General features: G+C 36.7%; 1 protein-coding gene across 13 annotated transcripts in view; it reads left to right on the top strand.

Moving 5' to 3' along the window:
* NUBPL (NUBP iron-sulfur cluster assembly factor, mitochondrial) overlaps window positions 1–26110 on the top strand; it is a 299821-nt gene that overhangs the window by 24397 nt on the left and 249314 nt on the right. For 12 of the 13 annotated variants that reach the window (NR_120408.2, XR_007064050.1, NM_025152.3 and 9 more), the window contains one exon: window positions 13489–13579. Coding sequence is in view for 9 of the 13 variants with exons in the window: in NM_025152.3 (NP_079428.2) it covers window positions 13489–13579 (91 nt within the window). In the remaining 4 variants the exon portion in view is untranslated. Of the gene's footprint in view, window positions 1–13488; window positions 13580–26110 lie in introns of those variants that run through there. The other variant, XM_047431786.1, reaches the window with a different exon arrangement.

The following is a 26110-nucleotide window of genomic DNA, read 5'->3' on the forward strand; positions in this document are numbered from 1 at the left end:
AAATGTTAATGACATTGAAGCTGGGAAGTTTACTGGCTGACATAGAATTTAAGAAGTCATTTTAATTCTTAGAGAGTACAGATGTACAGATGAATTGGCATATACAAGTAAGTATTTTCAGCATTTTGTAATGCTTAACATTATCTTTATGATTCTCATTTAGCAACTAACAATTAAAACATGTTTTGTATCTTAAGTTGTACAAGGTTTGAAGTACTTGAAAAATAATTTTCCTTAAACCCCCAAACACTTTTGTTGCAGGTTTTTTCCCCTTTAAACAGCAATGGTCATTCCTTTGGCCCCTAAACAACACAATTGAGAATATCTAAGTGATTATGGACAAATTCAGTTGAACCAATCCAAGAACCATCTGTGCTAGACACTATGTTTATCCATGGTGCTACCCTCACAAAGCCTCCAGCCTTGTGAGGAAGACCGATATATTAATACATATTTATTTACATAGAAGGAAGAATGTGGCAAGTGCAGCAGTTTGTGGGTATAAATAGTATATTAATACGAGAACAGAGAGAAATTAATTCCAGTCGTTCAAAGGTAATAATTTGAAGGTGAGGTGTGGTTTTGGCAGGTAGAAAAATAGCAGAAGATAATTCTAGGTTGAAGGAACTATGTAAGCAAAGTCATAGCAAGAAATGACAAGATATTTGGAATGAGAACTACAGAAAGTAGCTCAACTAGAAAGTAGTGCGGTGGAGTGGCATTTCTGCATTTCTGTTTGCTTAATTCTTATGGTCACAAGATGGCTGCCCCACTGAATTGTAAAGAGGAAGAAAAAGAATGTGTTCCCTTGTTTTTTATTTACAAGGGAAGAAAACTCTCACTAGACATTTTCTAGATTCACTGATCAGGATTGGATCTCATGAACATCTTTTAGCTGCAAGGAAGACTGGGAATGTGGAGAATCTGACACTTTCTACCTTTCCAGTGGGAGGTGAGTTCTGCCTTTGAAAAGGAGGGGTGGGTTAGGAGTTACTGTTGGGTAGTAATATCCTCTAGTTGTAAAAAAGCAAAGGAAGAGATAGGTTGAATCCAGGTTTGGGTAATGAATGAAAAAATGGTGATGCCATTTTCCAAAATGAATTTTGCAATCTAAAATTGAATTGGGTCCTTACTCTATTAATGTCACTTACTTGAATCTAACTCTCAGTGTTTGGGACTCTATAACCTCACTTTCTAATCATGAAACCTAACGGAAAACAGAGGAGGCAGCTGGAAGTAGTACAGTGGTTTTTAAATGCTACTCTTAGGACTGGTGCTAACTTCCTGCATAAAAATCACCTAGGAGCTTGTTAAATAAATCAAAATCTCTGGGAATTGGTATTTTTAGGTCTGGGATTTGACCATTAGTTTTGTTAACAAGTTGCCCGGGTGGTTCTGATACACGTCTAGGGTTGGGTACTTTTGGTAGAAAAAGTATGGGCTATGGATTCTGGCAAATCTGAATTTGATTCCAACTCTTCACTTATTAACTGTGTAAACTTAGGCCAGGCATTTGATCTGTCAGAGCTCAGGTACCTCATTTGCTAAATGTGTAGGAATAATAATAATGATAATGCTTACTTTACACAGCTTTTGTGAAATGTAGATATATCTTATGTGTAATGCCACTAGTATAACGCCTGGCACGTAGTGAGCATTCATTAACTCTGGCTATTATTATGTGTTAGCTTACAGTAAGTATGTGCATTTGATTTAGCATAGAAACACAAATTTCTGTACAACTACAACAAAAAGAAAAGAAGCAGAATATAATAAATTGCTTCTATTGTTGCTTACTATCTGTTATTTTCTAGGCTATAACATATGAGTCTTAATTTTCTTAACTGCATTTTTGGCTATGTCTGTACTCTATTATCTATATAACTTAAAAATTGGCTAATATACCAAAAACTCTAATTTTTGTGAAATATGCTACTTAATATTTACTAGAGGCTATTTTTCACAGTGATCTCATGTAAAACCTTAAACTATACATGGTTCCTGCTCTTAAACAAAAAACAGACAATATAAATTCAGATAAAAATAATAAGTGCACATTAAGGATCATTTTGTTATTCTTAAAGATTTTATAGTTGCCTGGGTTAATAATTAGAATGTTATTTTTGATGGTTGTTTTGTATGATAAATAAATACCCACTGAGAGTGAATGCTTATTTTTCCTGCTTCCGTGCATAAAGAGGTCTTGGTGTACAGAAAGGAGAAAGATGCTAACATTGAGTACATACTTTCTGCTAGGAAATTAACTTAATTTGTTGTATTGGCAAGAGGCAGCATGTTGTAGTGTTACCTGCAGACTCTGAAGCCCTGTTGCCTGGGTTCTTATCCCATTTTCTGCACTTGAACTGCCTGACCTTGGGCAAGTTACTAACCTTTGTGTGCCTTGGTTTCTTCATTGGGGGTTATTGTATACCTACTTTATAGGGTTGTCATGAGGATTAAATAAGTTAAAATATATAATGTGTTTAGGAAGTACCTGGCACATAGATAGAAGTATATGTACTGTGTGCATGCACTACTGTTAGCTATTCTTTAAGTTTCACAAATTTGCAGTGCTCTATAATCTTCACAAAAATCCTATAAATTAGATCTCTCTCTCTTTTTTTTTTGGTCTTAAAATGTCTTTATTGTATTTTAAAAAGTAGATCTTCTTAATCTTTACAGGTAAGAAAATTGAGGTTTGATGAGGTTAATAACTTATCCATAATCACCCATCTATTAAGTGATACAAATACTAGTTTGCTTTTTCCTGCATCCTACTATGCCTTTAATATGTTAATTTTTTTTTTTTAAATCCTTAAAAATAGTAATCACCCGGCTGAGCGCGGTGGCTCATGCCTGTAATCCCAGCACGTTGGGAGGCCAAGGTGGGCAGATTACGAGGTCAGGAGTTCGAGACCAGCCTGGTCAGTATGGTGACACCCCTCTCTACTAAAAATACAAAAAAAAAATTAGCGGGGCGTGGTAGCATGCACTTGTAGTCCCAGCTGCTTGGGAGGTTGAGGCAGAAGAATTGCTTGAACCCAGGAGGTGGAGGTTGCAGTGAGCCAAGATCGTGCCACTCCAGCCTGGGCAACAGAGTGAGACTCCGTCTCAAAAAAAAAAAAAAAAATAGTAATTACCCATGTGATTCATATGGTACTAAGCAACATTTTCATTTATCAAAAAATTGTTACTACTTGGCAGTGGAATTAATAGATTAACTCTTTTTGAACTTTGAGTGAGATGTTAATATTTTTAAAAAGATCTGTTATTGACCCTTAATTTAAAATATTGCATCAAGGTGTAACAGATTAAAAAAAGTCATATTGTAATAACAATTTAAATGAAATTAATTCCATATATATTATTTACCTGGGCTTAGATGCTAACATTTTTATAGCATCATTTTCTAGGTAATAATAATTATGGTGCCTTGATAATTTTTCTTAGTTTTTGAACTTTATTTTTAATTTGATAGAGTTGTATAATAATGTCTATATGTGAATACAGTACAATTGTTTATTTCACTCATGATTTAGATGACATCTGTGATTGAGTAAGTTATCTAAATCCTCAAGTTTCATACATTTTATAGAAAATATAAGCAATTATGCTAATGGAAAACCTGTAATATATATTAACAGTATTAATTGATTTGAAACCTATGTGTCTACCTCTATGGTGTCTTTTATAAGAATAATTCAGTGTACAGAATAAGAAACTTAACATCACATATTAAAATGAAAGATGAAGTGTTTTTTTAAAAAATTAAATGTATAATAGAGGGGTGAAAGTGTATTAGATTAGCTCCTAAAGCCAATCTTCTATTAGGTATTTTTCCTTACCTGTTTTGCTCTTCCTCCTCCTCCACAAGCACACACACACCACATTCACCCTGATCTTCAGATAGGTAAAAATCACCAAACTGCTCCCCCGTCCAACCCCTGCCATATTTTCTGCATGGTTTTAGGCACATAGCATTAGGTACAACATGCTTTGAAATTTCCCATTAGAAGCAGTAGCAATATTGTTAGCAATAGCTCTAAGGAAGCTGTTGGCTGGATGTTTCCTCCTCAGTACTCTTTGGTCTACCTTTTAAAAATTTCTTTCAGTAAAGTGCAGCTTGCTGTCAGTAATTAATTCTCCTTACTTTGTTCAAGGAAGTTGCTGAATTTGCTTATGAGTTAGAATGACAAGCCTTATCCTCATTTTACATATAGTATATTCTACCTTAGTTTCCCTTTATGTGTAACATACAGGTGGCAAAACTACTCCACATCCTTTGAATTTCATTATCTGATTCTGTCTAATAAGAATTTATCCAAATCTTTCTCACAGAGCAATCCTTTTTTTTGAGTCAGAGTCTCACTCACTCTGTTGCCCAGGAAGAAGTGCAGTGGTGTGATCTCAGCTCACTGCAACCTCTGCCTCCCAGGTTCAGGCAGAACAATCCTTTTTTTAAAAAAATTATTTACCTTCTTTCTAACTTGGCTTTCACTAATTCATTTTTCCTCTCTCATTTTTTTTTTCTATCAGGAAATTATTTCCTCCCATCCCATCTCCTTGAGGAACAGGAAGGGCCTTTAATTCTCAGCGGAGCAGTGTTGGAAGGGTCATTGAGGGGAAGAGAGCAGAGCATATGGAACTGTGGGTTTCAAAACCAGCTGCTGGGCCGCTCTGATTTTGAGTCTGAAGGGTGGATCAAGTGCTCTGTTCATATCTGATCTTATAATTGCTTTTCTTTAGAAGAGCTGCTCTCAGAATTATAAATACTCTTCCCTTCATTGCAGTTTAGTTAAGGACATTCTTAAGGAATTGATGTTAGTTTTCCAGCATCTTTGCTGCAGTACTTTATTTGTTTGGGGAAAGGTTCTTGTTTAGTTAGGTTTCTAGGTCCCCAGGCTTTGATTCTGGCAACAAATGACTAGTTGATATCACAGATAACTATGATTTTTAGAGCTCAGTGTCTGTAAGCATCTTCTGCATTTTTATAAGCACTACATGGTGGTAGAAGGCGTTCTAATTTTCTCTGTATTTGAAGACTTTACTTACTAAGGGCATTAAAATCTTTTATTTTATTTTTTTAAAAATTATACAGACCAAGATTTAAAGTTTTTCTTCTCTTAATCTTAGGTGTTTTATTCCTGATTTACTTTTCCCTCCTTACTAAATGAAAATGTGGCACTTAAGGCAACTGTTTTCTTGTTAAAGAAGAAGTTGCTTCTCCAGTTCCGGAAAGAAAAACAAACCCAGATTTGCAGCTTTTTTATATTTGAAACCCTATTGTACTAAATCTTGCTAGTAAGCAGATAAAAAATTTTCTTCTTTTTGGTTAGCTTTTTCATACCATGTTGTGACTTTAGTTTTCAAAGATTTAGACAATGTACTTTATCACTCTGTCACCCAGGCTGGAATGCAATGGTGTAATCTCTGCTCACTGCAACCTCTGTCTTCCGGTTTTAAGCAATTCTCCTGCCTCAGCCTCCCAAGTAGCTAGGATTACAGGTGCCGCCACCATGCCTGGCTAATTTTTGTAGTTTTAGTAGAGACAGGGTTTCACCATGTTGGCCAGGCTGCTCTTGAACTCCTGACCTCAAATGATCCTCCCGCCTCAGCCTCCTAAAGTGCTGGGATTACAGGCATGAGCCACTGCGCCCAGCCATATTTTTTAATAAAGCCACCATAGAACCATAGCCATTCTTTGTAATAGATTTTCTTTCATGAAGTCTATTTTTTTTGGAGTTGAGGCCAGTAGAAAAAGGAAGATGATATTAGATTTTCTGGGGAGAAAATGGTTGTTAGGAATAGACTGCAAAGAAATTTATGACCCCTTTTAAACACCAGAATGTTTTTAAGCTATATATTATTGTATAATTATTATATAGTAATATTACTTAATTTTGAGCCCTATAACTTAAAGTATTAGTGTAGAAGTATTAGAAGAGAGACTTTCTTGAAATCATAGTATGTTAAAGCTTATAAGAGACTGTGGGGATCATATAGTAAGCAATACTGAAATTCTACAGAATAACAGATGGAGGTTTGTTCATTCATTTATTAGTTTATTTACTTACCCATTTATTCAACAAATATTGAGTTTTTACTGTTCAGAATACTTGGGGATATTCCTGCCCTTATGGAGCTTATAGTAAATAGATAACAAACATCCCAAGTAAGTTAAATAGTATGTTAGAAGGTGATACAAGTGAACCGAGATGGAGGAGGGGTAGTGCTTAAGGATTAGTGCTGGTTTGCAGTTTAAAATATGATAGTTTCCATTGAAAACATGACACTTGAGCAGAGAAGAGAAGAAAATGAGAGTAGACTGTGTGACTATCTGAGGGAAGAGTATCTCAGGGAGAAGGAAGAGCTGGGGCAAAGGCCAATAGGTGGGAGCATGCCTAGTATACCATGCAAGGAATAGTAATAAGGCCAATGTGATTTCTGGAGGAAGAAGTGGAATGGAGTAATAGGTGATGAAAATTACTAGGTTTGGGAGGCAGGAGGTGGGTGGGGAACTGACTGGGTTATGTGGGGTGAATGGTTGTAAGGACTTTGGCTTTTACAGGAATGAAATGGGAGGAGTGGTGGCAGTGAAGGGTTTTGAGCAGAGTAATAACACAATCTGACTTATGTTTCATCTGAATCATTCTTGCAGCCCTGTTGAGAAGAAAGGCTGGGGTGAGGTTGTCAGATTTAGCAAATAACAAATTTGAATTTCAGATAAACAATGAATAATTTTTTAATGCATATGTCCCGTGCAATATTTATTGATTATTCACACATAAGGCAGAATGTTTACTATGTTTTTTTAAAAAAAAATCATTTAAAAAAGGACCTCTTTAATGTTATTGTTGATTACTGTAGATTATTATTATTATGATCCTGCTGGTCCCAAGGCTTAGTAGCAAATTTTCATCTCTCTTTCCTGTATTATCTATATTTCTGTTTTTCACATTGTGGTCATCTTATACCCTGGAGTGCTACATATATAGGTTGTTGGATGGCAGCCCGGACCGAATGAATCAGAATTTCTGGGATGTAATAGGGAATCTCTGTAACTACCTACTCTTCTAGGTTCTGGGTATATAGTAGTGAACAAAGCATGCAAAAATCCTTACCCTCATGGGATTTACATTCTAGTAGAGGAGATAGTAAACAATAGGTAAATACATTTGCACTCCATATGTGCTGGTTTTGCATCTGTGGATTTAACCAACTGTGGATCAAAAATATTTTTAAAAACCCAATAAAAAGAACAATACAACAATAAAAAGTAATACAAATAAAAATACAGTATAATAACAATTTACATAAAATTTATATTATATTTGGTATTATAAGTAATCTAGAGATGATTTAAAGTATACGAGAGGATGTGTACAGGTTATATGCAAATACTATGCCATTTTATGTAAGAGTCTGAGGATTGGCCGGGAGCGGTGGCTCACGCCTGTAATCCCAGCATTTTGGGAGGCTGAGGCGGGCGGATCACGAGGTCAGGAGATTGAGACCATCCTGGCTAACACGGTGAAACCCCATCTCTACTAAAAATACCAAAAAATTAGCCGGGTGTGCTGGGGGGCGTCTGTAGTCCCGGTTACTCGGGAGGCTGAGGCAGGAGAATGGCGTGAACCCGGGAGGCGGAGCTTGCAGTGAGCTGAGATTGCGCCACTGCACTCCAGCCTGGGCGACAGAGCGAGCTTCCGTCTCAAAAAAAAAAAAAAAAAAAAAAAAGAGTGAGGGTTTTGGTATGGGGGCGGAGGTGTCCTGGAACCAATGCCCTGCAGATACCTAGAGACAACTGTATATAATATGTTGAATACTAATATAGATACTAAGAAGAAAGAAAAAGCAGGGTGGGGAATAGGAAATGTGTAGTGTTGTGGTAAGGGAGTTGCAATTTTAGATAGCCTGGCCAGTGAATGCCTTACTATATGGTTATGTTTAAATCAAGACTTAAAGGAAGTGAGTAAGAGACCAGGTGGATACTTGGGGGAATAGGATTTCTGGTTGAGGGAATAGCAACTGCAAAACTCCTAAGTCTGGAGTGTTCCTTGTGTGTTTAAGAAGCTGCAAGACAGTAATATGTATGGAATAGATTAGAAAAGGGGAGAGTAGGAGATGAGGTGAAAGAGGTATGGTAAGTGGCTGGTGATTGTTGATTAGTGTTTAGGCTTCATGATACACTGGAGAGAGACTTGGGATCCTAGGCCCAGGAATGGCATTATCTCTGGGCCTTAGTTTCTTTTATCACTAAAAATTAGAAGACTAAGATGATCTCTTAGGTTTCTTCCTACTCAAAAATAGAGTCTTTAATTTGAAATTGATTATTGGCCAGGTGTGGTGGCTTACACCTGTAATCCCAGCACTTTGGGAGGTCGAGGCAGGAGGATCACTTGAGCCCCAGAGTTTGAGACCAGCTGGGGCAACGTGGTGAAACCCTGTCCCTACAAAAAACGAAAAAAAATTAGCTAGGCATGGTGGCCAGTGCCTGTAGTCCTAGTTACTCAAGACACTGAGGCGGGAGGATTGTTGCTTGAGCCAGGAAGGTCAAGGCCCCTATTGCCCTACTGCACTCTAGCATGGGCGACAGAGCAAGACCGTCTGAAAAAACAACCAAAAAGAAATCTGCCATTTATCTTGCATTTCTATTTTGTACCTCTTTTGAGAGCAGTTATAAATATTTTATCATTTGGGATTCTTCTGTACTTTTCATGAGCTCCTCTCAGGTTGTGTTCCAACTAGCCAGGTGATTTTTTTTTTCTTTTATGCTGCTGTGTTTTCTCTTTTTTCCTGATTGAACTTGAAGATTTAGACAGTCCTTTGATAAACAGCAGGAAATTGTTCTCTTATCACCTTGTTAACCATTAGCTCTTCTGACAATCAGATTCTTATTTAATCTTAGCTAATAGAATTTGGAAACATATATTTTTCTCTACTAAGAGATTGAAATTCTTATGATTGGCAGCTTGACATAAAGCTAGGCAGAAAGAGAAGAAAGAAGAGGCTTGAATAATTTCTAAATTGAATAAACACCAACTGCCAGTCCGAGATTAAACTGAATATAATATACAGGGAATCATGGGAGTCTTAGCTGGGTACTTCTGTAGAAGTACAACTTTTAGGTAGGTCTTATTTAGAAATAATTGGGTGGGAACGTTCTAAGATGTTGTTTTGATGGGTTCTATTAGCAGAAGACATGGATAAAAGGAACATATCATGAAGCTTTACAATCTTATTTAGTATAAATTGCATTGGAAGAACAAAGCAGTATCAAAACTGTGGTTCGTGTCTTTGAAATCCAACACACAAAAATAAGACGTGTAGGCTCTCAAATTGCAGCTTTCTTGCAGTAGTAGTGAAACAGTATAATTACTCTTGAATAATTCTGCCACCTTTTACAACTTCCACAGGGTGTTACAAATTATAAACAAATCCAAAAAACTAATTGTTATCTTGGGGTTTGATCTATCTTGTTTTATGTCATCTGCTAGATTTTGAAATCTGTAGGAGAGTCAGAAAAAGAGTATATTGTTAGATACCAACATTAGGTTAAGTTTATGGTGACATTAAAGATGACAATCAGACTTTACAATAGTAAGTTTACAGTTATTTTTGCTAATAGTAATTTTTTTTATCTGTTGTGTATTTGGTAGCTTTTGTAGCAAATATTCGTTTGAATCTGGCTGAAATTGAAGAAAATCCTAAATGGAGCTTTCTTGAGTAAATAAAATTATTATAGAAGGAGTAAGTTGGAAAGGATTCATAAAACTTAGCTGGCTGGACACCCAGCTGCATACATTTATTTATAGGCTTTTACCTTGCTCATTTATTTTTCTAACAGTGTAAAACTGGAAGTTTAAAGTGAAAGACTATTTACATACTTAAAATAGGAGCCTATTTAAAAATAACGGAGTCAATTATGAAAAACAAATGAAGTTTATTTGGCACCTTTTGAACATTACTGAATTCTAGACTTGAAAATCTGTTTAAATTTATTTTTATAGCAATGGTAACTGTACTGGTCTGGTAGCTGTGCCAATTCTAAGTATAATATGCTTTAATTAATGTATGCTTTGGTGTTTCTGTTAATGGACACTGATTTTTTTTTTTTTTTTTTTAAGACAGAGTCTCACTCTGTTGCCCAGGCTGGAGTGCAGTGGCGCAATCTTGGCCCACTGCAAGCTCCACCTCCTGGGTTCATGCCATTCTCCTGCCTCAGCCTCCCGAGTAGCTGGGACCACAGGTGCCCGCCAGCACGCCTAGCTAATTTTTTGTATTTTTAGTAGAGACGGGGTTTCACCATGTTAGCCAGGATGATTTTGATCTCCTGACCTTGTGATCCGCCCACTTTGGCCCAAAGTGCTGGGATTACAGGCGTGAGCCACCGCGCCCGGCCTGGACACTGATTTTATTCATGATAAATAAAATCTAAGCAAGACATCCTAATTTAGTTCCAGTAAAATAGTCTGAAAAGAGTGCTTTTTAATTTTTAAAATCTAGCCAATTAAGGATGAGAGAGTAAATCTTTACTGAGATAGCTCCTCTGACGCTGAGATGACTGGCCTGCGTGCTCTTGGTGCTAACAAAATTACATTGTTGAATGACTGAATAGCTTCATCATGAAAAACTTTGCTCTCTAAATTGAATGTTGGCTAACTATGACATGTGGACCAAATCCTGCCGTTTTTTGTGAAGTTTTATTGGAACACAGCCATGTTAATTTATTTACATATTGTTTATGGCTGCCTTGATGCTACAATGGTAATGTTGAGTAGTTACCATAGAGATCATATGATCCTCAACGTCTGAAATATTTACTGTTAGCCCTTTAAGAATAAGTGTGCTCTGTATCTAAGTTTTTGGAGTTAGATCGTGTTAAAGTTCTGTTGGAGGTTTATGAGGTTAGCATTTTCATGTTTAATTTCCCATTCTACTTCATTTTAAGAAAGAATACTTTAAATGGTCATTTTGAGTGTAAGTTTCTGGCTTTCTCATTCATGAGTATGGATAATACCACCTTGCAGTGTTGCTGTGAGGATAAGTGAAAAAATGTAAATAAAATGCTTAGCTAACTGCCCAGTACCCAGAAGGAATTCAAAAAATGGGGAGATGCAATCAGGGAAAGTGTTGGTGTCTGGGTAATTTAAGATGGTATGTTTTTATAGGTTCTGATTTGTCCATAGGGCTGGCAGTGGAGGCCTAGTTTATCCGGCATCTTTATATAACTTTGCTGTCTAATGTCCCTTTATCCTGTTCTTCCTCCGTCCTTAATCCCTTTGCTCCTCTCTCTCTTTCCTCTCTTTCTCTTTTCCTCCTGATCTTTATATTTTCCTCCCTTTGTTTCCTTTTTGATATATGCAAGCATTGGTACTAAATTTAGGTCAGTCTCTTAGAGTACGTAGAGAGCCTAATATGTAGAATATTGTCAGTTAGTGTTATTTCTATTCTCTAGGAAGCAGAAGAATTCGAAAATCTTGTAATTTCCCCCTCCTCCTTAATTTTTACATAACGTTTATTGGAGCCATCTAGGCATATGTAAAATCTACTCTTACCGTAGCAAATGTTAGGAGAGATCTTCAGTTTTTTTGGAACATTATGCCAAGAGTTCATCTTTAGGCAAGCTTGGTATTCTTCTAGAAGCAGGATAGATGATAGATCTTTCCTAGCATTTTGAAGGAAACTTGAAAATCTAGTGATGATAAAATTGACCCTAGCAATCTTATATTAGTTAGAACACTTAGTTATGTTCTTGTTTCATGGAAACATAAACTTAAAAAGCTGTTATTTTACTTGACAGGTAATGTTAGAAGATCAATTTGAAACTTAGGACCTAACCCCCTTCATGTTATTGTAAAACCAGCATTGATATAAATAAGAGAACAAGGAAAGAGAATTTTAAAATAGCTTTTGTTTTTATTGGTATTTATTATTATTTGGCAGTAGTTTTTAGTTTTTGTAGGTGTCATAAAAATACAGAAAAGAGATAAAATTCTAGGATGATAGTTATAGCATTAGCAGAACTTTATGCAATAGAAGTTAACAATTAGCCATATTTCTAGATTTAGGTCCCCTCATTTGAAAATCTTGTTATCCATAGTAAATTTAATTGTTTTAATTTAGCTAAATTCTTCTGTTTGTGGTTTAAAAAATAGTTAAATTGGTCAAATTTCTCATTGACTGTTCCTCCCTTCTTAAATCTGATACCTAAATGCATTAAGCTTAAATTTTATATACCACCATTCTATGAAAAATCAAGTATCCTTCCTATTTTTCTCATTTATTTTACATAAAGCTGAGATTTTCATAGAGGCAGATATTAATCCCGTTTTTTCCTCTGAGGACACTGAGTCATACAGATATATATATGTATATTTAAACTGCAGTTTTAGTCAGTATAAAGTTGGAAACACAAATGTTAGATTTACCTTATTTTGTATGTTCATAGGAACCAGATAACAAAATTTAAAAAGTTTTTTTTTGTCTAGAAATAGGTAGGTAACATCGAAGATGAGTGATTGCTTCAGTTTTTCAAAAAATTTTGTCGAGGGGTTACGAGTTTTATTCTGTAGGATATGAAGAGAGTAGTAGGAAAGTTGTAAGACTTGATGAAACAACTCTAAGACATATCGTGTTAGGGTTCTGTTTACTTGTAGATGAGCAAAACCAGTAACAGATTGATTTCATCTATCAAAGGAGAAAGAAGAGAGGGGAAGAAGAAAAAAAAGAGACATATTTTTTAATAGCGGATTTTGTTTTCCTTTCCTTGGCTAAGCTGCTGATTAATTGACAGCCAGCGAAGAGCCCAGACAGGGTATCCTGTCCTTCAGCAGCTGGATGCATCATCAAAGAAAACAGTTTTAGTTGTTTCTGAATCCTCTAGAAGACGTTTTGTATTTAATTGTGACTTGCATATAAGAGGTTGTCTCTGTGTTAGGTGTGCCAGTATCCTTGTTAGTGCTTCCATCTCATTTATGCCAGATCTACATCAGAGTTTCTCACTTGCTTTATTATGGCCCTGTTTCCATGATCTTTTTTTATTTTGTCTTCTTTGGTGTGTTAGACAAGCTTTCCAAAAGTTAATGTTGTGTCTTTCTGGGGTTTTGCTTGCCATCACAAATCATTATTTTAAAATTGTTTACATGTAATTTGTTCTCAAACTCATGTTCAGATCAAAAAGGTCTTAGTCTGCTTGAGACTATATGAGAGACCTGAACTACAATATGTAAAGCATATAGGATGGATTTCTCTATCAGTTGTCTAGACGATATTAGTAAATCGTAAAAAGTATTGACCCTAAGCAATTTATGCTCTTTTACTTAACTGTTGCTTTGGAAGTTTAGGTTATGATTTGTAATATTTTGCCAATTTTATTTTCTGTACTCAGATTACTGTTGCTATATGCTTCACCTTTGAGAAGAGTGGGAACAATCTTATGGTAAAGTGTTTTTGTTTTGTTTTATATTTTTATTTATTTTTTTACAGTCCAAGGCCATTGGTTTGCTAGATGTGGATGTGTATGGACCTTCAGTTCCAAAGATGATGAATCTGAAAGGAAATCCGGAATTATCACAGAGTAAGTAAAGAAGGGATAAATATTATAATAATAGTTGCACTTTTATTAATACTTACTGGGTGTCAGACATTATGCTAGATGCAATGTATATTTTATGCACAATGTAGTGTAAGTCCTCACTTAAGTTAGTAGATTCTTGGAAACTGTTACTTTAAGTGAATAGATATGTTAATTGATATAAACAAGAGTTAAGTTCCTATGGCATATTTCTGGTCACAAAAACTTCACCAAACTTCTAAATAAAGACTCAAAACACTTCTAATATTAAACAAAGAAATAAATTTGGGCTATAAGTACATTTAAGAAAGATTAATAAAAACAATATAATTATTTACACAATTTTTAGTGAATCAGTGAGTGAAAGCAGTCATAGTGGTGGTGGGTTAAATCAAGGAATAGGTGTTTGCAAAGTGAAAATTGTAAGGAGCATCTCTTACCATCATGCAATTCAAGAGTAACCAATATGGCAGATCATTGAGCATTTTCTTACTGCATTGTTTATTGTGCATTTGTATGATTATCATATACTTTACTAGTTTTTTTTCTTTTTTTTTTTTTTTGAGACAGAGTCCCACCCTGCTGCCCAGGCTGGAATGCAGTGGTGTGATCTCGGCTCACTGCAACCTCTGCCTCCTGGGTTCAAGTGATTCTCCTGCCTCAGCCTCCCAAGTAGCTGGGACTACAGGTGCACGCCACCACGCCCAGCTAATTTTTGTATTTTTAGTACAGATGGGGTTTCGCCATGTTGGTCAGGCTAGTCTTGAACTCCTGACCTCAGGTGATCCACCCACCTCACCCTCAAAAAATGCTGGGATTACAGGTGTGAGCCACTACACCTGGCCCACTAATTTTTATTTGGCAATCATTTGTATCCATTCATTCATCTTCCAACCCACTTATTCTGGTTCAGGGTTGGGGGTGCCTGGAGCTATCCTGGCAGCTCAGGGCACAAGGCAGGAATCAACCCTGGAAAGGAGGCCATTCCATTGCAGGGTACACTCACACACCCACACTCATTCAGACTGGGACCATACAGACACGCCAGTTCATCTAATGTGCATAGCTTTGGGATGTGGAAGGAAACTAGAGTACCCGAATACCCACGCAGACCTGGGGAGAACATGCAAACTTTACACAAGACTGTGGTCGTGGCTTGAAATTGATTTTTTTCTTTATTAATGTTACAACAAAATGATGTTGAAAGAAAGCAATTTTATTGGAGGACCTGCTGTATAGTGATTCAGAAAGCAGACATGATAGATTCCGGATATTAGCCCTTTGTCAGATGAGTAGGTTGCAAAAATTTTCTCCCATTTTGTAGGTTGCCTGTTCACTCTGATGGTAGTTTCTTTTGCTGTGCAGAAGCTCTTTAGTTTAATTAGATCCCATTTGTCAATTTTGGCTTTTGTTGCCATTGCTTTTGGTGTTTTAGACATGAAGTCCTTGCCCATGCCTATGTCCTGAATGGTAATGCCTAGGTTTTCTTCTAGGGTTTTTATGGTTTTAGGTCTAATGTTTAAGTCTTTAATCCATCTTGAATTAATTTTTGTATAAGGTGTAAGGAAGGGATCCAGTTTCAGCTTTCTACATTTGGCTAGCCAGTTTTCCCAGCACCATTTATTAAATAGGGAATCCTTTCCCCATTGCTTGTTTTTCTCAGGTTTGTCAAAGATCAGATAGTCGTAGATATGCGGCGTTATTTCTGAGGGCTCTGTTCTGTTCCATTGATCTATATCTCTGTTTTGGTACCAGTACCATGCTGTTTTGGTTACTGTAACCTTGCAGTATAGTTTGAAGTCAGGTAGCGTGATGCCTCCAGCTTTGTTCTTTTGGCTCAGGATTGACTTGGTGATGCAGGCTCTTTTTTGGTTCCATATGAACTTTAAAGTAGTTTTTTCCAATTCTGTGAAGAAAGTCATTGGTAGCTTGATGGGGATGGCATTGAATCTATAAATTCCCTTTGGGAAGTATGGCCATTTTCATGATATTGATTCTTCCTACCCATGAGCACGGAATGTTCTTCCATTTGTTTGTATCCTCTTTTATTTCACTGAGCAGTGGTTTGCAGTTCTCCTTGAAGAGGTCCTTCACATCCCTTGTAAGTTGGATTCCTAGGTATTTTATTCTCCAGAATCTACAATGAACTCAAACAAATTTACAAGAAAAAAAACAAACAACCCCATCAAAAAGTGGGCGAAGGACATGAACAGACACTTCTCAAAAGAAGACATTTATGCAGCCAAAAAAACACATGAAAACTGCTCACCATCACTGGCCATCAGAGAAATGCAAATCAAAACCACAATGAGATACCATCTCACACCAATTAGAATGGCAGTCATTAAAAAGTCAGGAAACAACAGGTGCTGGAGAGGATGTGGAGAAATAGGAACACTTTGACACTGTTGGTGGGACTGTAAACTAGTTCAACCATTGTGGAAGTCAGTGTGGCGATTCCTCAGGGATCTAGAACTAGAAATACCATTTGACCCAGCCATCCCATTACTGGGTATATACCCAAAGGACTATAAATCATGCTGCTATAAAGACACGTGCACACGTATGTTTACTGTGGCCCTAATCACAATAGCAAAGACTTGGAACCAACCCAGATGTCCAACAATGATAGACTGGATTAAGAAAATGTGGCACATATACACCATGGAATACTATGCAGCCATAAAAAATGATGAGTTCATGTTCTTTGTAGGGACATGGATGAAACTGGAAATCATCATTCTCAGTAAACTATCGCAAGGACAAAAAACCAAACACTGCATGTTCTCACTCATAGGTGGGAATTGAACAATGAGAACACATGGACACAGGAAGGGGAAGATCACACTCTGGGGACTGTTGTGGGGTGGGAGGAGGGGGGAGGGATAGCATTGGGAGATATACCTAATGCTAAATGACAAGTCAATGGGTGCAGCACACCAGCATGGCACATGTATACATATGTAACTAACCTGCACATTGTGCACATGTACCCTAAAACTTAAAGTATAATAATAGAAAAAAAAAAGAAAAAAAAAGCAGACATGGAAGACTGTACTTTGAGGAATCATTTCTATAATTCGCTACTACAGAAGTTTCTCTGAACACGTAGAGCACCGAATTTTAATAAAATAAATAAAAAGTATATATATAAAAAGAAATCAGACATGGTACTGGACTGCCTGGGTTTGATTCTCAGCCCCATCCATTTACTAGCTATATGACTTGAGTAAATTGTTTTAATCTTTTTGTGCCTCAGACCCCCATATGTAAAATAGTTACAACTACTGTGAGGATTAATATAATGCATTTAGCAGAATTTCTGGCACATAGTAAGTGATCAAAAATGGTAGATCCTCATTATTGTCTCTTTATATTAAATGTGTGGATATATGGGATTATTTGAATAGGAAATATATTTGTGTTCAGAAAAGATGAAAATTATTTTCTCTGATCAGATTTCTTGGTCAGATTTGTTTTAAAGTGTTAAAAAAAACTCCCAAAACATTATTTTCTTTCCCTAGCCTCTTTACTAGAAAGAAGTAATTTTTAAATACCTCTTTAATGTTTACTGCTGTTGTTATTGCATTTAAAAAATAAAGCTATCAGAAGCTTTAAGAAGAAGGAAATGTTATTATCAAAAAATGAATTGGCTTGGCTTAGTGGCTCACATGGCTGTAATCCCAGCACTTTGGGAGACTGAGGTGGGAGGACAGCTTGAGCCCAGGAGTTCAAGACCAGCCTGGGCAACATAGTGAGACAAAAATAAAAAAATTAGCTGGGCATGGTGGCTCACACCTGTAGTCCCTGATATTCAGGGGACTGTGGTAAGAGGATCACTTGAGTCCTGGAAGTCAAGGCTGCAGTGAGCCATGACTGCACCACTGTACTCCAGCCTGGATGACAAAGCAAGATCCTGTCTGAAAAAAAAAAAAAAAAAAGAAAAAGAAAAGAAAAGAAAAAAAGGAATTGGAAAAACTGATAATTTTTTTAAAAGAATGGTTTTATGGGAAATTGGTTTATTGATTTGTAATGATAATGAGTATAAAATTGAATAATTTCTTTTTGTTCTTATTGGGCTTTTTATTTTCCATTGTTCTAGAGAAAATGACTATATTTACTCCTGTATATTTATTGGATTATCTCTGTAGGTAATAGAAGATTATTTTTGTTGTCATTAAAAGTTAATTCAGCATTGCTTACCATTTAAGAGGCTTTTGTTTGTGGTTTAGTTGTTGGAGCCAATTATAATGTTAAGTTTTGGATAATTCTTTATGAGACAGTAAAGATTCTCCCTAACATTTTGAAGAAAACTTAAAGATTTTAGTGATGTTAACATTGACCCTAGCAGTAGTATATTGCAAGTACCCACTTAATTATTTTCTTGTTTCATGAAACATAAACTTGAAAAGCTGTTATTCTGGTTTCTTTTTCTTGACTTTTTAGTGGAATACATACTTAGTTTGCAAATATATGACATGAGCCAAGGTGTCAAGCTTTCACAAAGAAGGAGTAATGAATTTGCATACTTTAAATGATAGATTCATTATGTTTGTCTCTTGATTAAAGTAATATGAAAACTAGTACATGCAGAACATGAGGAATGGCAAAATGGAGCCCTCAGTGTCATTCTTTTCTTAAGTAGTCTGCTTGGTATATGCCAACATAAACACTCGAAGTGAACTTTAATTTCTTTCTTCTTGTTTTACTGAAGCTATAATCTTAAATTTGATGTTTGCAAATTGGCTGCCAGTAAATAGGCTTTCGGGTAAAGACGAGGTACTGGAAATCTTGGAAAGGCTGAAAAAAAAAAAAAAAAACACTTTCTCTGTTGACAGGCTGATCTTAAGTCCCCCAAGAAATAAACTGAATGATTAAGGCGTTCACTTAAAAGAATGTGGAATCTTAAAAATGCAACTTATAAATTATTTTTGAATCTTAGAAAAACCTGCCACCATTCTACTAATTGGTATCATTCTGACATTTCTACATTTTTCATGTTAATTTATCCTATTCTGCTATTACAGAAAACACAATACAATACAAAATTACCTAATTAACAATAAAGAGAAACTATGAAAGGCTTGTTTCCAGCAGTTCAGGTTTTGGGGAGATAGACCAGTGAATTGAATCCCACCTTTATAGGTGTTCCTCTGTTCTGGGACTAAGCTGGACAGCCTTGCAAGCAGTGGGACTTCAGAATTACCTTTCTCCTTATTATTTAAATAGATGTATGGCAATGTAGTTTTTGACAATTTGTTCATTTTAAAATGATATGTTAGGGTTGGCAGATCATACGTTTATCCACATTCTCTTCATACCTTTTTTTGGGAGGGTGGGGGGAATTGTAGAAAAACAACACATTTTGCATTTAAGACATTTTAGCCTTCATTACCAAGAGAAAGTTTCTGTTCGATTTTAAAAAAGTGAATTCAGTAATTGAAGATTTTAAGTTTATAATAGTTTTGAGTTTCTTAGGCTGAGAATGTTTCCGTCAGCTTAAAATGACAATAGTGATTTTTCTATGTTATCATGCAAAATTATGGTAGTGGAAAATCTAGCCAGTTTGTAGAAAGGGCATTATGCAAAAGCATCAACAGGCTGACATTATAATGACTGAAGATGAGCAGTTACTTTGGGAAGCTAGTGGGATTTAGAATAAAACCTAAACGTCCTTGGAGAAACCAGCATCTAAGCATGAATATAACCTTTTTTAAAGAACAAATGCCAATTTTTTCCTTCATTTTAGCTTTCCAAATAGTGTCAAATTCAGATTTCATATTATAGTATAGCCAAATTATAGTCCTAGAAATTATTGTAGGTTTTCAATTGAAATGGCAAATGAATATTAAATGGCTGTTGCACAAGAGAGACAACACATCTCTCTCTTAGTAGATATTAGTAGAAATATCTGCTTTGTTTCATAGTTTTGTGATGAAAAATCACTTTCAGAATACTGGTGAATTTATTACTACTTAGTTTTACTGAAGAGTCTTTAAATGTAATGAGCTAATAAAGTAGGAAAATTTCAAGACCTGTGGAGAGAGTTTACTAAAATGGATATGTCAAGTATTTTATTGAGGATGACACAGTGTTTATTAGTGATTTTGAGTAGGATCCCCTTGTCTTTTCTATTGTGGGATAGTAATTTTGCACTCATGGCACAGTTTTCTGCTCTATTTGTTTAAAGTTAGTAAACTTTTTTCAAGTTTAGGAATTAATGTGTATGTAGGCTTCTGAGACAGAGAAGTGGAAAATCAGCTTGAGCAAATGACCTTTTATAATCTCTGATAAAAACTACAAAGAAGGGACTGAGATCTTCTGCTTCTTTCTTCTTTCTTCTTCTTTCTTCTTTCTTCTTCTTCTTCTTCCTTCCTTCCTCCTTCTCCTTCTCCTTCTTCTTCTTCTTTTCCTTCCTCCTCCTCCTCTTCCTCCTCCCTTCTCCTTTCTCGTCTCCTCCTTTCTTCCTCCTCCCTTCTCCTTCCTTGTCTCCTCCCTTCTTCCTCCTCCTTGTCTCCTCCCTTCTCCTTCCTTCTCTCCTCCTCCCTTCTCCCTCCTCCTCTTGTCCTCTCTTCTCCCTCCTCCTCTTCTCCCCTCTCCCTCCTCCTCTCGTCCTCCCTTCTCCTTCTTCCTTTTCTCCTCCCTCACTCCTTCTCCCTCCTCCTCCCTCCTCCTCCATTCTTCTTCTTCTTCCTCCTTCATCTTCCTTTTTCTTTTCTTTTCTTTTTTTTTTTTTTTTGAGAGTATCACTCTGTTGCCCAGGCTGGAGTAAAGTGGTGCCATCATAACTCACTGCAGCCTCAAACTCCTGGGCTCAAGTGACTGTCCCTCCTCAGCCTCCCAAGTAGCTGGGACTACAGGCGTGTGCCACCATACTGGCTAATTTTTAATTTTTTGTAGAGCTGGGGTCTCACTGTGTTGCCCAGGCTGGTCTTGAACTCCTGGACTCAAGCAATCCTCCTGCTTTGGCCACCCAAAGTGCTGCGATTACAGGGCTGAGCCACCACACCTGGCCTGGAACTGAGATTTCTTAAAGGTAACTTAAGTGCTTAAAGAATGAGAGTGAACTCTAGTTATTCCTTAAGTCACTCTGTTGTTTCCTTCCAGAGAAGAGATCTAGGGGTGTTGCTGAAGGTGTTAACATGCAAGATCACATTCCTATCCAAAGCATGGAGTTCCCAAAGGGTGTAACAGCTATTTGCTGCTCGGCTTGTGGATGTTAGCCCAGCCGGTTAGGGTGGTTCTGGGGATACTCACCAGATACCTCCAGTTTTAAGATGACTAGTACAGTAGCCTCATGGGCCACAGAGGGCAGGGCATATTGTTGGCTCCTCTTTGGGGTATCATAGATATGTGGACTGCAGGAGGCTCCTTCAGCTTGAGGTCTGTAGTTGTCCAAGGTTTTGATGGGGGTTGTTGGAATATTCTTGCTTACCTCTTCACTGTAGGGAAAATTTCCTCCTGATTCCCAGCTGATCCTGGTTGCTGGGATAGGGTTGTGGAGTTGGTGTATCCAAATGTAGTTATTTATTTGTTGTTCTGGCTGTCTTTGTGAGGAGGATGAGCACCAGGGGCTTAGTCAACTCTCTTGCTGACATCACTTTATTTTGTTCTTTAAAGGGGCAATCATTACAGAACTGGAAGAAAAGAGAATAGTGATGTTTCATTGGGAAACTTGGCTATTAACCTTCTCTAATTTTCAGTTTAGAAACTTAACTAGCTGGCTGGGCACAGTGGCTCACGACTGTAATCCTAGCACTTCGTGAGGCCGAGGCGGGCAGATTGCCTGAGCTCAGGAGTTCAAGACCAGCCTGGGCAACATGGTGAAACCCCATCTCTACTAAAATACAAAAAAATTTGGCTGGGCGTGGTGGTGTATGCCTGTAGTCCCAGCTACTCGGGAGGCTGAGGCAGGAAAATTGCTTGAACCTGGGAGGTGGAGGTTGCAGTGAGCCGAGATCGTGCCACTGCACTGCAGCCTGGGTGACAGAGTGAGACTTTGTCTCAAAAAAAAAAACAACAAAAAAACACCAGGGACCAGTCCCGGTATGTGACCTTTCAGACAAAGAATTCAAAATAGCTGTGTGAGGAAACTCAAAGAAAGTCAAGATACTACATAGAAAGAATTCAGAATTCTATCAGATAAATTTAACAAAGAGATTGAAATAATTAAAAAGATTCAAGCTGAAATTCTTGAGCTGAAAAATGAAGTTGGCATGCTGAAGAATGCATCAGTCTTTTAATAGAATTGATCAAGCAGAAGAAAGAATTAGTGAACTTGAAGACAGACTATTTGAAAATATATAGTCAGAGGAGACAAAAGAAAAAAGAATGAAAAACAGTGAAGCACAACAACAGGATCTAGGAAATAGTCTCAAAAGGGTAAATCTAAGGGTTATTGGCCTTAAAGAAGAGGGAAAAGAAAGAGCTAGAGGTAGAAAGTTCATTCAAAGGATAATAACAGATCACTTCCAAAACCTGGAGAAAGATATCAATATCCAAAAGTACAATAAGGTTATAAAACAAAACAGATTTAACCAAAAGAAAACTATCCAAAGGCATTTAATAATCAAACTCCCAAAGATCAAGGATAAAGAAACAATCCTAAAAGCAGCAAGAGAAAAGAAATAAATGACATACAATGGAGCTCCAGTACCTCTGGCAGCAGACTTTTCAGTGGAAACCTTACAGGCCAAGAGAGAATGGCATGACATATTTAAAATGCTGAGGGAAAACACTTTTACCCTAAAATAGTATATCTGGTGAAAATATCCTTCAAGCATCAAGAAGAAATAAAGACTTTCCCAGACAAACAAAAGCTGAGGGATTTTTAACACCAGACTTGAGCTACAGGAGATGTTAAAGGGAATACTTCATCAGAAAGAAAAGGACATAGGCTGAGTGTAGTGGCTCACTCCTATAATCCCAGCACTTTGGGAGGCTGAGGCGGGCGGATCACCTGAGGTCAGGAGTTCGAGGCCAGCCTGGCCAGCATGGTGAAACCCTGTCTCTACTAAACATACAAAAATTAGCTGGGCATGGTGGCGGGCGCCTGTAGTCCCAGCTACTTTGGAGGCTGAGGCAGGAGACTCACTTGAACCCAGGAGGCAGAGGTTGCAGTGAGCCGAGATCATGCCACTGCACTCCAGCCTGGGTGACAGAGTGAGACTGTCTCAAAAAAAAAGAAACAAAGAAAGATAAATAAAGAAAAAGACATTGATGAACAGTAGGTAATCACCTGAAGGTACAAAACTCACTCGTAATAGTAAGTATGCAGGGAAAAAAAGATTTTTGTAACATTGTAACTATGTGTGTAATCTACTCTTATCCTAAGTAGAAATCTAGACTTAGAATCTAATGCTGCCACTGATCTGACAGGAGGCGGAACTCAGACAGTAATGTTCCCTTGCCTGCTACTCACCTCCTGCTGTGTGGCCCAGTTTCTAACAGGCCACAGACTGGTACTGGTTTGCGGCCTGGGGGTTGGGGACCCCTGGGTTATCAGATAGAATTGCAAGCCTCATGGTAACCTCAAACCAAAAAACATTCAATGAATACACAACAAATAAAAAGCAAGAAAGTAAATTATATCACCAGAGAAAATCAGCTTCACTTAAGGAAGACAGGAAGGAAAGAAGGAAGGAAGAGAAGACCACAAAACAACCAGAAAACAAGTAACAATATGGCAGGAATAAGTCTTTATTTATTAGTAATAACAATGGACTAAACTCTCCAATCAAAAGATGGAGTGGCTAAATAGATAAAAAAAAACAAGACCCATTGATTTGTAGCCTACAAGAACTACATTTCACCTATAAAGACACACATAGACTGAAAATAAAGGGGTATAAAAGATACTCCATGCCAACAGAAACCAAAAAAGAGCAGGAGTTGCTATACTTACATCAGACAAAACAGATTTTAAGACAAAAATCTATAAGAAGAGACAAAGAAGGTCACTATATAATGATAAAGGGGTCAATGCAGCAAGAGGATATAACAATTTTAAATATATATGCACCCAACACTGGAGCACCTGGATATATAAAGCAAATATTATCAGAGCTAAAGAAAGAGATAAAGCTCAATACAATAATACCTGGAGACTTCAATACCCCACTTGCAGCATTGAACAAATCTTCCAGACAGAAAATCAACAAAGAAACATCAGACTTTATCTGTATAGACATAAGGGATCTAATAGATATTTACAGAGCATTTCATCCAGTGAATGCAGAATACACATTCTTTTCCTCAGCACATGGATCATTCTTAAGGATATACCACATGTTAGGTCACAAAACAAGTCTTAAAACATTCAAAAAATGGAAATAATATCAAGCATCTTCTCTGACCACAATGGAATAAAATTGGAAATCCATAACAAGAATTTTGGAAACTGTACAAATACATGGAAATTAAACAATATGCTCCTGAATGACCTGTGGGCCAATGAAGAAATTAAGAAGGAAATTGAAAAATTTCTTGAAAAAAATGATAATGGAGATATAACATACCAAACCCTGTGGGATACAACAAAAGCTGTACTAAGAGGGAAGTTTGTAGCTATAAGTGCCTATATCAAAAAGAGGTAAAATTTTCAATAAACAATTTAACGATGCATCTTAAAGAACTAGAAAAGCAAGAGCAAACTACACCCGAAATTAGTAGAAGAAAAGACATAATAAAGATCAGAGAAGAAGTAAATGAAATGAAGAAAACAATACAAAAGATCAATGAAACAAAAAGTTGCTTTTTAAAAAGATTGACAGAATTGACAAACCTCTAGCCAGACTAAGAAAAGAGGAAAGAAGATTAAAAATAAACAAAATCAGAAATGAAAAAGGAGATGTTACAACTGATACTGCAGAAATTCAAAGGATCATTAGTGGCTACTGTGAGTAAGTACATGCCAATAAATTGGAAAATCTAGAAGAAATGGATAAATTCATATACACGTACAACCTACCAAGATTGAATTAGGAAGAATTCAATCTTCCTAAACTTAAACAGACCAACAACAAGTAACAAGATCAATGCTGTAATAAAAAGTCTCCCAGTAAAGAAAAGTCCACGACCCAATAGCTTCACTGCTGAATTCTACCAAATATTTAAAGAACCAATACCAATCCTACTCAAACTGTTCTGAAAAACAGAGGAGGAGGGAATATTGCCACACTCATTCTGTGAGGCCAGTATTACCCTGATATCAAAACCAGAGAAAGATACATCAAAAAAAAAAAAAAAAAAAAAAGAAAGAAAACTGCAGGCCACCTTCTCTGATGAATACTGATGCATAAATCCTCAATAAAATACTAGGAAACCAAATTCAGTAATACATTAGACCATTCATCATGACCAACTGGGATTTATCCCTGGGATGCAAGGATGGTTCAGCACAAGCAAATCAATTAATGTGATGCAGTGTATCAACAGAATGAAGGACTGAAACCATATGATCATTTCACTTGATGGTGAAAAAGCATTTGATAAAATTCAACATCCCTTCAGGATACAAACCTTCAAAAAACTGGGTATAGAAGGAACATACCTCAACATAATAAACAGCATGTATGACAGACCCTCAGCTAGCATCATAATGAATGGAGAAAAACTGAAAGCCTTCCCTCTAATATCTGGAACATGACAAGGATGCCCACGTTCACCACTGTTATTCAACATAGTACTGGAAGTCATAGCTAGAGCAATCAGACAAGAGAATGAAATAAGGGACATCCAAATTGGAAGGGAAGATGTCAAATTATTCTTGTTTGCAGATGCTTTAATGTTATATTTGGAAAAACCTAAAGACTCCACAAAAAAACTATTAGAACTGATAAACAAGTTCAGTAAAGCTGCAGGATACAAAATCTACTTGCAGAAATTGGTAGCATTTTTATATGCCAACAGTGAACAATCTTAGAAAGAAAAACATAATCCCGTTTATAATAGCCACACATAAAATTAAATACTTAGGAATTAACCAAAAAAGCAAAATATGTCTATAATGAAAACTGTAAAACACTGATGCAAATAACTGAATGGGACACACAAAAAATGGAAAGATTTTCCATGTTCATGGATTGGAAGAATCAATATTGTTAAATTGTCCCTACTATTCAAAGCAATCTACAGATTCAATGCAATCCCTATCAAAATACCAATATCATTCTTCATGGAAATAGAAAAACAATTCTACTATTTATATGGAACCACAGAAGATCCAGAATAGCCAAAGCTAATCTAGGCAAAAAGAACAAAACTGGAGGGATCACATTACCTGACTTCAAATTATGCTACAGAGCTGTAGTAACCAAAACAGGATGGTACTGGCATAAAAACAGACACACAGACGAATAGAACCAAATAAAGAACCCAGAAACAAATATACACACCTGCAGTGAATTCATTTTCGACAAAGTTTCCAAGAGCATACAGTGGGGGAAAAGATGGTCTCTTTAATAAATTGTTTTGGGAAAACTGGATATTTGTATGCAAAAGAATGAAACTAGACCCCTATCTCTCACCATATGC

This window comes from Homo sapiens, chromosome 14, assembly GCF_000001405.40.
Source record: "Homo sapiens chromosome 14, GRCh38.p14 Primary Assembly".
Lineage (NCBI taxonomy): Eukaryota > Metazoa > Chordata > Mammalia > Primates > Hominidae > Homo > Homo sapiens.